This window comes from Homo sapiens, chromosome 10 (assembly GCF_000001405.40).
Source record: "Homo sapiens chromosome 10, GRCh38.p14 Primary Assembly".
Taxonomy (NCBI): Eukaryota; Metazoa; Chordata; class Mammalia; order Primates; family Hominidae; genus Homo; species Homo sapiens.
The window spans coordinates 14,633,843-14,648,652 of NC_000010.11; the positions used below are offsets into that span (position 1 = coordinate 14,633,843).

At 42.7% G+C, this 14,810-nt stretch overlaps 1 protein-coding gene across 2 annotated transcripts in view, besides 2 other annotated features; it reads right to left on the reverse strand.

Moving 5' to 3' along the window:
* Positions 1 to 14,810, reverse strand: part of FAM107B (family with sequence similarity 107 member B) — a 256,341-nt gene that overhangs the window by 115,286 nt on the left and 126,245 nt on the right. The gene's annotated exons all lie outside the window — the stretch shown is intronic.
* Positions 11,483 to 11,632: an enhancer, noted in NCBI's record as "active region_3079". NCBI's record gives its function as "activates an Ori minimal core promoter by ATAC-STARR-seq in GM12878 lymphoblastoid cells {active_cell/tissue: GM12878}" and the evidence as "EXISTENCE:reporter gene assay evidence [ECO:0000049][PMID:35858748]".
* Positions 14,150 to 14,319: an enhancer, noted in NCBI's record as "active region_3080". NCBI's record gives its function as "activates an Ori minimal core promoter by ATAC-STARR-seq in GM12878 lymphoblastoid cells {active_cell/tissue: GM12878}" and the evidence as "EXISTENCE:reporter gene assay evidence [ECO:0000049][PMID:35858748]".

Below are 14,810 nucleotides of genomic sequence, written 5' to 3' on the forward strand. Positions count from 1 at the left end.
CCATATAGCAAGAAACTTAAAATGTTTCTTTTTCTGGTCAATCATTACATCACTTTGTGGAGCATAAATAGAGCTTAGGGAAGAGATAAAACCAGTTGTAATGACCAAGCCTCAACTCACATGCCCTAAACTGAAGGGACACAGTAACATTTCATGCAGGCTTTTCCATAGTGCTATAAAGTAGATTGTGATGTTTTGTCCCTAATTGAGTTATGCTTTTAAGACATTGTTATTGATTTTTAAAATGATATGAAACAGCTTTTAAGATTTCAGGCCAGGCGCTGTGGCTCACACCTGTAATCCCAGCACTTTGGGAGGCCAAGGTGGGTGGATCATGAGGTCAGGAGATTGAGACCATCCTGGCTAACACGGTGAAACCCCGTCTCTACTAAAATTACAAAAAAAAAATTAGCCAGGCGTGGTGGCGGGTGCCTATAGTCCCAGCTACTCGGGACGCTGAGGCAGGAGAATCGCTTAAACCCAGGAGGCTGGGGTTGCAGTGAGCCAAGAGCATGCCACTGCACTCCAGCCTGGACCACAGAGCGAGACTCTGTCTCAAAAAAAAAAAAAAAAAAATTCAAAATATATGCTTGGTGTCCACATTTTGGATAACAGGCAGCCAAAGCTGGGTTTATTTGCATGGAAATAGCTTTTCAAGAGAATGGGAATCAATAGAGGGAAAGTTGATGAAATTCTGCTTCCAGTAATGATGGAATTAACTCTCCCACAGAAAACAGCTGCCAGCTTAAAAAAAGAAAAAAGAAAAAAAACCCCAAAACCAACTACTTGAGTGACCAAAAGCAGGCAGAAACTGGAGCAGGAAGGGTCTACATTTGGGAGGAGGATGGCGTTAGCTGAGTTTCCCATTTTTGCAGCTTTTAGCCTGAAGTCAGATGATGCCATCACTGTGGGGGTGGAGATTTAGGCAGGGTATGTGTCTAACACTTGGATAGAAACCTCAGTCTTGGCCGGGTGCGGTGTCTCACGCCTATAATCCAGCACTTTAGGAGGCCGAGGCAGGCAGATCACTTGTGGTCAGGAGTTTGAGACCAGCCTGGCCAACATGGTGAAACCCCATCTCTACTAAAATACAAAAATTAGCCAGGCATGGTGGTGCATACCTGTAATCCCAGCTACTCGGCAGGCTGAGGTGGGAGAATCGCTTGAACCCCGGAGGCGGAGGCTGCAGTGAGCTGAGATTGCACCACTGCGATCCAGAGACTGGGCAAGAGAGAGAGAACCTATCTCCAAAAAAAAGAAAAGAAAAAAAAAAAGGAAAGAAGAAAGGAAGGAAGGGAGGGAGGGAGGGAGGGGAAGAAAAAGAAACAAACCTCAGTTTTTTTGGCCTGAAGAACTAGGGTAGGGGTCAGTCAGGGGCCATGGCAGCTGGAAGCGGAAGAGGAGAAATATGCAGAAGAAGAACAGGAGCAAGAAACCAGGAAGCCCTAAATTCTCCACAGGAACTCTGCCCAAATGCTTGGCTGATGCCTAAACTTTGCTTGCAACCATTAGACTTCGAACAGCCCACCTAAGGCTAAAAGAACTAAATGGAGATTTTAGCTATTGTTCACTACTTATTAAAACAAACAAACAAAGAATCAACACCCTCTGCCAGTGATCCTCCAGCGTGTGGTTGGGATATGGCAGGGATATCCCTTCTTGCACTGTAAGAGACAGCCCCATACCACGAAGTTCTGCTCTACTCAAAATGTCAGTTGCACACACAGTTAGTTCTGCTCTAAGGAGAGGTTTCAAACCTCCCTGGTTGGAACTTGGAATGTGTTTTTCTATTTTTTTTTCTTTTTTTGAGATGCAGTCTCGTTCTGTCACCCAGGCTGGAGTACAGTGGCGTGATCTCAGCTCACTGAAACCTCCACCTCCTGGGTTTAAGCAATTCTCCTGCCTCAGCCTCCCAAGTAGCTTGGATTACAGGCGCCTAACACGACGCCTGGCTAATTTTTGTATTTTTAGTAGAGGCGGGGTTTCACTATGTTGGCCAGGATGGTCTTGAACTCCTGACCTCAAGTGATCTGCCCGCCTCGGCCTCCCACCGCATTGAGATTACAGGCATGAGCCACCATGCCTGGCCAGAATGTGTTTTCCACTGAAATTCTGTGATAAATGATAGCTCCTGTGGAGCCAGGTGCACAATGAATTCAGTAGTCTTTACGCCAATCTACAAATAATACCATGACTTGTCTTATTGCTTCTATGAGAAAATGTGTTCCAAGTTTCAAACAACACACTTTGAAATTCCTGGAGCACAACTACTTCTTCGATGCTCCTTTGGCTTCAGGATTGGCTACCTTCACCAATCAATCTGAGCACCCCTCATCCCCATACACAATGGTGGCATCCTATGCCCAATCAGAATAGGATGGATATGCACTCAGGATTTTGCCATAGTGTGACTCTTATAAAAAGGAGCCAAAAAAAAAAAAAAAAAGCCAACAATTCCAGGATCATGTGAGAGAGAGAGCAAGTGAGAGAGAGAGAGAGAGAAATGTCTACTTCTATGTGCACATAAAACTAAATGTATACGTTCTGCCTGTTGTCTACATACCTCTAACTCTTTTTGGGGGTAGAGTATATGAACTATTTAATAACTCAACGTAATGATGTTACATTTTAGAATAAGAACCAAGGAATCAGATTTCAGTAGAAAAGCAAAGCACTGAACACTACATCTCTTGTGTGTCTAAATATTCTCTTTTTCTAAGGACATCAGTAATATTGGATTATGGCCCACTCTAACAGCCTGATTTTAACTTAATCACTTCTCTAAAGGTCCATCTCCAAACACAGTTACATGGCGAAGGAAGTACTGGGGTTAGGGCTCAACATATGAATTTTAGGGGGGGTGGGGGAGTGGGTATGAAGATAATTCAGCCCATAATGCATATTGCTGTCTACTGAGTCGAGTTCTTGGAGGTTGAATCCTGCTGCTATAGCCTTGAACTCCAAGTCATTATGGCTCAGCTCCTTGCAGAGTTTATAATTTGGAATTGCTTGAGTTGATGGCCCATGCAGCTTTATCTGCGGGTATCCTTCCAAAGGATTGTGGGCATATCTTTCCAAAGAGGTTGTCCATTTGTTTTTGCCAGATGTCCTGGAGGATTTACTGATCTAGGATGTTTTGTATGCTCATTTTTCAACTTAGGAAGTCATTATACTCTATAGGTAAACTTAAATCCCAAACCCATGCACTGTGTAAGCTGTGATCATGAATTCTCAGGGGAGACTTTGTTCCTACTCAGGGCTCATGCAGAGACAAACAAGCTTCATCGGTGTCTCCCTTTTAACAAGAGTGTCATTCCTCAAGGTCTCGGCTTCACGAGGGTCTTATTTCTAACACCATGCCCCTCCTAGCACCCAGGCCTTTCCCTGTGGCAGTCTGATTTTTGGGGTGGCCCCTATGATCCCTACCTCCTGGTGTTCATACCCTAGAATAATATCCTCCTCTTGAGTGTAGGCAGGACCTGTAACTTGACTCTAACCAATAGAATATGAGACCAGCTGCAGTGACTCACGCCACTAATCTCAGCCCTTTGGGAGGTTGAAGCAGGTGGATTACTTGAGCCCAGGAGTTCGAGACCAGCCTGGGCAATATGGCAAAACTTATCCCTACAAAAAATACAAAAATTAGCCAGGTGTGGTGGCTAACTTTTTATGGTGCTTGTAGTCCCAGCTACTTAGGAGGCTGAGGTCAGAGGATGGCTTTAGCCTGTGAGGCTGAGGCTGCAATGAGCTGTGATCATGCTACAGCACCCTAGCCCGGGCAACAGCAAGACCCTGTCTCAAAACAAACAAACACAGATGGCAAGGGTGACAGGATGGACATGATTCCAAGATGATTTTATTCATCTTGCTGGAGTCTCTCATTCCCTTCCTGGCTTTGACAAAGCAAGCTGACATGTTGGGGTGGTGTATATTAGGATGCCCATGTGGCACTAAGGGTGGCCTCCTGGCTGACAACCAGGAAAAAAACAGAAGCTTTCAATCTTACCTACACCTGCAAAGAACTGAATTCTTCCAACAAGAGTGGATTCCTCTCCAGTGGAGACCTCAGCCTAGCAGACACTTTGATTGCAGTCATTTGAGACCCCAAGCAGACAACCTAGCCACGCCATGCTTAGCCTCTTGACCCACAGAAACTGGAACATCATAAATATATGTTGTGCTTTTTGTCACTAAGTTTGTGGTAATATGTGGTAACATAGCCAAGGATAACTAATATACTCTCCCAACTCAGATGGTCACCAAACCCAAGGCCAAAGATTTCTAAGACCTGCCCCAAGAGCAGTGATAACAGTAATTTATAAAATTATTACTCTGGTTTTCAGTTTCTTCTTTGTTTTTGGTCCCTGGGAATTTCTATTATTTTCTTTAACAATTAGCTGTGGATTTACAGAAATCTTACGTTGTGTACAGCCTGCTAAGGTTTTTTTTTTTTCCCCTCTGTAAGCTGGATATGTTTCATGTTGTAAAGTCCTCCATATTGCTAGAAGTGGAAGATGCCTTAAAGGTTTCCAGTCAAAGTAGAAGCATTATGCTCCCTTCTCTTTGAATGAATTTTCTGTTCTCCAGAAAATCCACCTACTCCCAATGTTGGCATGCAGCCTTTAAGTTTGAGATTCAACTTTATCTCAAATGCTAACTTTTTCTCAAAATGCCAATCCACATTTTTAGCTGCCTCTTAGAAATAGTTTTCTTTTGGAGGTCTTATCTTGACATTAAGCACCTTACTTTCCAAAATGCCTGCTACCTATTTTTGCCTGCCTTTCAGGGGATTATTTCCTAATCATTTCCCAGTGCTCACCTTCACTCATCCCTTATCCAGTTAGTGACCAAGAGCTCTTTTTTATTCCTTACTATTCTCACATCGGCTTCTCCTTTTGCCGTGCTGCAGCCAATATCCCCCTAGTTTAGGCTCTCACTGTCTCATGTCTAGATGTTGCACTGTTTTCTCTTTAATGCCCTTTCTATTGCATTCTCATGTCCTCAACTTTCTCAGGTGGTTACTTCCTTCTAGAGTGTTCTCTGTCTATCAACATTTCACCTACTTTGTCCAGGCACGGTGGCTCACACCTGTAATCTCAACACTTTGGGAGGCTGAGGTGGGAGGATTGCTTGAGTCCAGGATTTCGAGACCAGTCTGAGTAACATAGTGAGACCCCATCTCTATAAAAAATTAAAAAATTTGCCAGGCATAGTGTTGTGCCCCACCTGTAGTCCAAGCTATTTGGGGGGTTGAGGGGGGAGGATTGCTTGAGCCTGAGAGGTCAAGGATGCAGTGAGCAGTGATGGCACCACTGCACTGCAGCCTGGGTGACAGACCAACACCCTGTTTCCAAAATAATAATAATAATAATTGTACCTACCTTTAAATATTCAGCTCATAGACAGCTTCCTCCAGGCAGCTTTCTCTGACTAACCAAGCCAAAGACACCTCTTTCTCCTCTGAGCTCAAACAAGACCAGCAACCTTAGGGTTAGGTACCACCATGCTTTACATCTTTATATCTGTTCTGGGTACAGTCCTTTCTGTACAGCAAGTGTTCAATCCATTTTAAAAGATTGTGACTCAGATTTGAAAAGCTGCCTGATTTTTGGTTCAGCAAATGTGGGACTAGTCAGGAAATCCAGTATAAATAAGTGACATGGGGCTGGGAATCATGAAATAAGCAAAAATTAACAAGATTTCTCATTCCTCTCAAGACTACCCCCAAGATCCACCAGACCCTGGATTTAAGTTCAATGCCATTCCTTGACTTCCCTTACATTCCAATTCCAGCCTTGCTCCAAACCTGAGGGCTTCCTGGTTATGGTATTGTCCAGCTTAAAACACCTCTAATGGCTTCCACGGAGCATAGACTGCCCCCATCTTGGAGCCCTCCATGACCTCATTTACTCTTCCAGCCTCATCTCCCATCTTGCTTTCCCTTTCTTCTATACTCCAGCCACACTCAGCACAGTCATCTGAATCTAAGCATGACTTGCACCTTCCTCCTTCAGCTAACACTGCTGCTACTACCCGGAGTGACCTTCTTTCTTTGTCTAACAAAGGCTTATCTTAACTTTAACTTTAAGACTCAGCTGAAATTGCCTTCTCTATGAAATTCACTCTGACTGCCACCCGTTTCCTTCTTTGTATACTGATGCTGATCTTGTCCATAGCAACATCTCTCAGAGATCCCATCTGTATCTGTTAATAATACACAGCTTGGCCATGGTAACCCATACCCATCACTGAATAATTCCTATGAGCTGGGCATTGTTATAGATATTTTGCATTTATTAATTCATTTAACCCTCACAACCAGCCTTTGAGATGAGGACTATAGATGAAGGAACAGAGCAGTTAGGTATCTTGTTCAAGGCCACAAAGCATATGTGATGGAACCAGAATTTGAACCCAGGGCTTCTGAATACAGAGCCTGAACCATTAACCACATGCTCTGCTGCCTCTCAGTGAGTGCCAGTGAAATGAATGGGTGCACAAATGAATGATTTCTCCAGAATGGTAGAAGGTGATCAGCTGTTCTTTCCATATGCCTCCATTGATCACTTTAGCATACCCAAAGTAAACTCTCTTTGGATCCACATCTCTCAAGGAAAGTTCCCATCTGCTTGAGTTCTCTTGGAAACAAAGCAGAGAACTAGTCAACCCTGGACCAACAGAGCTCTGAGATGAGCCCAGTGTGACCTAGCTGAGGGGCAAATACTGGATAATAAAGAGGTGCTTTCTTGCAAGTGAAATAAAACCAGTGAATTTTCTTTCTGTCTACTGGATTCCCTAGGATAGCACCTTGCATAAATCCTAGTTAATATCACAGAATTTGACAACTGGGATGATAGATGGTGCACCTCAACCCCTTAATTTAATGATAAGGAAACTGAGGCTCAGATCAGCAAAATAGTCAAACTGTTCATTGTCACACAGCTAGTTAATGATTCCTGGGCTAGCATCCAGAAGAGACAAAACACTCCCAAAGGATATTGGCACACTGCTTTTCTTCAAGGGGACTGCCCAATTCTCACATTTTCCCCTTTTTTTAAAGAAAAAAACTTGCTTTAAAGAAGTTTTAATCTAGATTTAATTGTTTCCCCTTAACCCAGTGTAATTATCTATGGTTTCCACTCCAAATTGGCTTGGACTCAAAGGATTTATGGTGGCTCTATAATGTCCTGCTAGGTGAATGTTCTTTTGTCTTACAAATGAAGAGATTACTTTAGCAGCTTTAGCAGAAGGGGAAAACGTGCTTTCACCAAATGTGTTTGCTTAAATAGTATAATTGATCATCAACAAAGCCCTACCACCTTCTGTAGTTTTTTTCTTAGGTAGATATGATAACCAAGCTGGAAATTTCCATTTCTAACAGCTACAATTTCCAAGCTATATATTAAGTACCGATTTTGACAGATAAATGGATAAAATGTATTTTGGGGTCCTCTGGCACATGAGACTTCTGATTAATTTGAGCCAACATTGGTTTGCTGCATTGAGCTCTGTACTTGGATTAGACATCTATTAGAATAGATGCAAAACCAAGTTAGGCTAGTTTCAGATGACTGGCTCTCTTAGCTCAGGCCGCCATAACAAAATCCCATAGTCTGGGTGGCTTAAACAACGGAAATTCATTTTCTCAGAGTTCCAGAGGCTGGAAGTACAAGACCTCAGTGCCAGTATGGTTGGGTTATGGTGAGGACTCACTTCTTGGCTTGTAGATGGCCACCTTCTTGCTGTGTTCTCACATGACAAAGAGAAAAAGAGAGAGAGAGGAAGCGCTCTGATGTCTCTTCTTCTGAGGGCACTATTCACATCACCCAACATCATCACCTCATCTGAACCTAATTGGGAATCTTTTAAATCTCCCAAATGCCCTATCTCCAAATACCATCACATTGAGGATTAGGGCTTCCACATATGAATTTGTGGTGGGGCAGGAGGGAGACATAATTCAGTTTATAGCATTATATCCCTGGCTCCCCAAATTCATATCCTTCTTGTATGCAAAATATATTCATTCCATTTCAACAGCTCCAAGAGTCTTAACTTGTTCCAGCATCAACTGTAATGTCTAAAGTCCAAAGCCTCCTTTAAATATCATCTAAATCAGATATGAGTGAAATTTGAGGTACAATTTATCCTGAAGCAAAATTCCTCTCCAGGTGTGAACTTGCGGAACCAGACAAATTACGCACTGCCAAAATACAACATTGGGACAGGCATAAGATAAATGTTCCCATTCCGAAAGGGAGAACTCAGAAGAAAGAAAGGAGTGACAGACCCCAAGCAAGTCCAAAACCTAGCAAGGCAAATCCTATTAGATCTTAAGGCTCAGGAATTATCCTCTTTGGCTCAATGTCCCATCTTCCAGGCTCACTGGGGTGGAAGCATCACTCCAATAGCTCCAGGCAGGGGCCCTGCCCCTGTGGTTCTTGCAGACCCTGGGTCTTGTCAGAAGGCTGTGTCCCCAAGGCTCCTCTGGATGGTCCTCCTGCAAAGCTTCAGGTAGGGGCTTTCCAGTGGTTGAAACCAAGGCTCTGGGCCTGATGAGCTCTGCATCAACTTCAGCATCAATTTTTTCTCTTCTGGGAGAATAGTGCATGTTCCAAGTACCTCTACTTTCTCATCTAGTGAAATCCAAGAATTCCAATAGCCTTCCTTCATTTTGTCATGTCTCTATCCCCTTCGGTTCAAACTGGCAGTGTTTCTGCTCATATAACCCTATAAACACTATCAAGTGATAGTTTGGCCATGACCTTGGTGTTTTTTTTGCAATATGGATAGATGAAGTATTTTCCAAGTCTGCAAGTTCTTGTTTCTTTTGGCTTAATAATTCCTTCTTCAATTAATGTTTCTTTCCCACATTTCCCTATAAGCAATCAGGAAGAACCAAGCCACTCCTTCAACACTTTGCTTAGAAAACTACTCAGCTAAATATCCAATTTTGTCACTCACACATTCTGCCTTTCACAAAACTCTAGAACACAGTTCACAGAAGTTCTTTGTTAGTTTATGAAAAGAATCATCTTTCCTCCAATTTCCAGTAACACAATCCTCATTTCTGAGACCTTGCCAGAATTGCCCTTAATGTTCATATTTTTAGTGTGCACCCCCAAATTCTTCCAGCCTCTACCCATTACCCAATTCCAAAGCCATTTCCACATTTTTAAGTATTTGTTACAGCAGCACTCCACTACTTGGTTCCAAAATTTGTATTAGGTTTCTCCAGAAGAACAGAACTGATTGGAGATAGGTAGGTAGGTAGGTAGATAGACAGATAGATAGCTTTATTATAAGGAATTAGCTGATGTGATTATGGAGGATGAGAATTCCCAAGATCTATAATTAGTGAGCTGGAGACTCAGTGGAGTTGATGGCATAATTTCAGTTCAAAAGCTGGCAGGCTTAAAACCCAAGAAGAACCAATGTTAGTCTAAGTCTGAAGGTTAGAAAAGACAAGCATCCCAGCTCAAGCAGTCCGGCAGGAGGGATCCCCTCTTACTTAGCCTTTTTGCTTTACTCAGGTCTTCAAAGACCCATATTAGGGAGGTCAGTCTAATTTTTTTTTTTTTTTTTGAGACAGAGTCTGATGCTGTCACCCAGGCTGGAGTGCAGTAATGTGATCTCGGTTCACTGCAGTCTCCACCTCCTGGGTTTAAGTGATTCTTGTGCCTCAGCCTCCAGAGCAGATGGGACTACAGACACATGCCACCACACCCAGATGATTTTTGTATTTTCAGTAGAGACAGGGTTTTACCCTGTTGGCCAGGCTGGTCTTGAACTCCTGACCTCAAGTGATCTGCCCACCTCGGCCTCCCAAAGTGCTGGGATTACAGGCGTGAGCCACTGCACCCGGCTGTCAGTCTGTTTTATGCAGCAAACTAACTCAAACATTAATGTCATCCAGAAACATCCTCACTGACACACCCAGAATAATGTCTGACCAAATGTCTTGGCACCTCAAGGCCCACTCAAGTTATCACATAAAACTAATCATCGCACAGACCCTCAGGTATATGATTTTAGTACTCCACAACAACTGCAGGCTTCTGGGAAATAATTCCTCAAGAACGCAATTTCAACAACATCACTTTGGGCAAAGACATAAGAAAACAGCTGTCCAATTGAAGAATTTTTAGAGCTGCTATTGTATTACTTACTTGGAAATTGCCTAATGATACCAGTAATGAGAAGGAGACATAGAGGGTAAGAATGAAGGATATTTCCTCTCTCTCTTTGTATTCTTATTCTCTCTCACTCTGTACATAATCCTGTTATTGCAGTAAGATAGTAGAATCGTGGGGGAAGAGACCAACATTTATTGAAAATTTACAATGATACAATGATAATGATGATGGCTAACATTTATCAAATGCTTACTATATTCCAGGCACTCTTCTCATTTAATTCCCTATTTAACCCTTTACTATATTCCATATATTACATTGTGTTATCTTCACACCTAGCTGATGAGGTAGGTCATTTATCTATTTCTATCTATTGTATAGATAAAGACATTTCCCAAAGTCAAACAACAAACCAGAGGTTGAGCTGGGATTTGCATCCAGCACGGCTCATGTTGTTCTTTCATGCGTATGCTGCCTGCCCTGCTAAGTAAGACCCATTACACCATGTACATTTGTACATTAACAGAAATAAATAATACAGATATGTCTGATGTTCTCCTCTGCACTAGAACTCAGAAAATGTGAAAATATCATCTTGGTTTTGCTTCTCATTTGCCATATGGCATTAACATATCACTTAATTTCTCTATGACTCAATTTCTTTACCCATAAAGTGAAAATTCTATCTGTCCCATCCTATGGCAAGGCATTTTAATGGCAGGTCCAAATAAAATGATTGCAAAAGCATTATGAAGAATGCCACACAAATGCAAGTATTGGTATGAGTGTGCTTACTACAAAACACAAAAACCATCCTCCTTTTTGTGCATCGGACAGGAGAGGTCTTTCTTAGATGCTTCCTCTGTCCCATCATCTTCGTGGCCAGCTGCACAAAGCAGGTAATAAATTGCCTCCTAATTATAAGAAGGGATATACATAGCATATCTGGTCTAGTAGGTGCTCAATAAATATTAACTTCCTTACTTTGCATGAATGGGCATAGGAGTCAAAGCCTGGTCCCAACCTGCTCACCAAGTGTCACGGGGAATCCATTTCCAGGATTCTAAAAATAATAATCAGCCATTATCTTTCTTGAATGTGATTTGATTCAAAATGGAAAATACTGAGTGTGGTAGGGAGAGGAAACTATGCCTGAGGAACCACTTAGTTACAACAGGGCCCCAGCTTTGTGATTCAGGACATGCTGCTGGAGAAATGTAGTTCTTTTCATGGGCAGGACCTGACTGTCCTTTCTGCCCAAGGGTGCAATTCACTTATTTGGCTACAAAAAGCTCCTTTACTGCCTGTCTCGCATTCTCCACTTTATAAATCTTCCAGGGGTGTCAACTGCTCAGAAGGCAGTGGCTATTTTAGTAAGTCTGAAATGATCCCCAAGGGCTTGTCACCTGTATACACCAAGAATGGCTTTTAGGTTTCCGTTTCCCGTTCGTCTAAGCAAGCCTGAGAAAGAACACACTGTGGCTGTCTGATTCAGATGGTCCTTTCTTCCCCCACATCTCCATTCATTTATAACTCATTCTTTCTGGTTCACTGTGACTGTGATTGTAACTGAGCACAGGACCCTGGAGAGACTCCTCAGCTTGTAGGGGGATGTGGCTGTTAAAGAGAGAACCTCTCTCCCAGAGGGCTTGGCTACTGAGACGTATTTTTCTTCCTTTCTCTTTTACAAGTGGAAAATAATGCCTGGGAGGAAAATGAGACAAACAGCGGCAATTCCAATTTCACCTAAGCTAGGATTTATTTTATTTTTTTTACTATTCCCAGCTCCCAGATAAATTCTCTCCCTGATTTCTGTTATATGTCACTTTGGCTGACATATGTCAAGTTCTTAACATTGATGAAAAATAACCCATTGGGTGGAAATGAATATCATGACACAGAGGTGATTTTACAGTTTTGTTGTTTTAATGAATGAAAGGTTAACAATAAGAATTGGACTAATAGTGTTGGAAACAAGCCCTCGATTTATCTGCAGAACAGACCCAAACTTCTCAGCTCTCCTCCCTCCTCTCCAGTTGACCACTCTGCAAGGTTGGTTACTCTAAAACTCCACCAGTGTCCTCTCGGGGAAGAGGTGATAGGTGATTAAACAGATTGTCCGTAATGCATGGCTTATCTTTCTTTAGGCTGTGATCTTGCTTGACAGTCATTAGTTACATGTGTATGCATCTTACCCACTTAAAAAAATGTTTTTTTTATTTCAATAGCTTTAGAGGTACAAGCGGTTTTTGGTGACATAGATGAATTATATAGTGAGGGAGTCTGGGCCTTTAGTGTACCTGTCACCCAAATAGTGTACATTGTACCTAATAGGGAATTTTTCATTCCTCACCCCCGTCCACCCTCCCTCCTCCTGAGTCTCCAGTGTCCACTGTACCACTCTGTATGCCCATCGCTTAGCTCCCATTTAGGAGTGAGAACATGCAGTATTTGGTTTTCCATTCCTGAGTTACTTCACTTAGGATAATGGCCTCCAGCTCCATCAAAGTTGCCCAAAAGACATTTATTCTTTTTTATAGCTGAGGCGTATTCCATAGCATATAAATGCCACATTTTCTTTATCCACTCATTGCTTGATGGGCACTTAGGTTGATTGCATGTCTTTGCAATTGTGAATTGTGCTGCAATACACATATGAGTGCAAGGTGTTGATATAATGACTTCTTTTCCTTTGGGTGGGTACCCAGCAGTGGGACTGCTGGGTCAAATAGTAGATCTACTCTTAGTTCCTTGAGAGCTCGCCATACTGTTTTCCATTGAGGTTGTACTGATTTACCTTCCATTTTCTCCTTTTTTTTTTTTTTTTTTTTTTGAGACGGAGTCTCACTCTGTCACCCAGGCTGGAGTGCAGTGGCACAATCTCTGCTCACTGCAAGCTCCGCCTCCTGGATTCACGCCATTCTCCTGCCTCAGTCTCCCAAGTAGCTGGGACTATAGGCACCCACCACCAGGCCTGGCTAATTTTTTTGTATTTTTAGTAGAGACGGGGTTTCACCGTGTTAGCCAGGATAGTCTTGATCTCCTGACCTCGTGATCCGCCTGCCTCGGCCTCCCAAAGTGCTGGGATTACAAGTGTGAGCCACTGTGCCCGGCTCCATTTTCTCCTCTTTTAAATGGAGAACTTCCTAAGATGGGCCATTCACGTTTTTCCCACAGAAAGTCTTCCACATAGCAGACACTCAATTATAATTACAAATATTTGTTGGTTGAATGAATGAAGGAAAGAAAATATTTTAAAAGGTACAGACAAGAAGAATTCCGGGAGCTGTGAGGCTCAATTTAGTTGTATGCTGTCATTCATCACCACAGTCTTGGCCAGATTTTCAGTGCTACAAATCGATACTAACCAACTGGTAGGCAGAGACGTATAACCATCTCCTATAAAATTGCTAATTCAGTCTGGGTGCAGTGGCTCAGGCCTGTAGTCCCAGCACTTTGGGAGGCCAAGGTGGGTGGATCACTTGAGGTCAGGAGTTTGAAGCCAGCCTGACCAACTTGGTGAAACCCCGTCTCTACTAAAAAAAGTACAAAAAAATTAGCCAGGCATGGTGGTGGGTGACTGTAGTCCCAGCTACTCGGGAGGCTGAGGCAGGAGGAATCACTTGAACCTGGGAGGCGGAGGTTGCAGAGGAGCCAAGATCGTGCCATTGCACTCCAACCTGGGTGACAAAGTTAGACTCCATCTCAAAAAAAAAAAAAAAAAAAGATTGCTAATTCAAACAGTAATATGGATTGCTGTTTGAAAATGAAACAAGGCATTTGCAGTCAACAATTCTGGACTCATCTCAGAGTTATATGCCATGGTCTGTACCAATGACCAATGCTCTCAGTAAGGGCTGTCTCCAGATGCCAAGGCAATGCGGTAAACACCCTCTAATATTGCCCCAACCAACTCATATATTCAAATATGTATTGAGATGCTGACACAGTTAAGGAAGGCAGAATTTGTTAAGTCTTCTGCGGAGAAACTGAAAAAATGGAGTGAGAATCCATTTTTAGCGGAAAAAAAAAAAGGCGATATAAAACATTTTCTTAAGAGGTTTAGCATATTTGAAAAGACGTGCCAAAAAAAAAAAGTATTCTTTTACTAATTCAATTAAAATGATCTCAGTCACTTCGGTATTTTCCATTTCTGGTCAAAATCTAGACAACAAAGAAGGAAGTGTCATCTGAGGTAATTATGGTCTAACCAGGAGCAAAATAGGCCCCAGGCCTCACAAGGAAGCTTGACTGAAAGAGGAACTTTGACTTAGTAAAACCGAACTGCTGGGGTCGAACTGACCAGCCCTAATTTGGAGCAGGTGCAATCACTCTGGCCATTTGCTGACAGGCAGCATGAACGAGGGGAAACAAAAAGCCCGGAGAAGTACTGAGTGCTAAGAGGCTTTCAGAGGCGCCTGTTGCTAGGGAACCACTTCCTCTGTGTTCATACCCAGCGAACTCAAGCTATTCAGATATCACTGGAATAATCTCTCTCAGGCTCCGAGGGGAAAAGAAACAGCTCTCAAAGCTCAGACGTCATGGTAACACTGGGAAAAGCCCAGCTTTTCCAGCAGACACCGAAGAGCCAATGATACCAGGAGAAAACCAGAAGTGAATGGGCATCTTGTGTTTTATTGAGACACAGAGGACAGGCACCTTCTGCCTGACCCC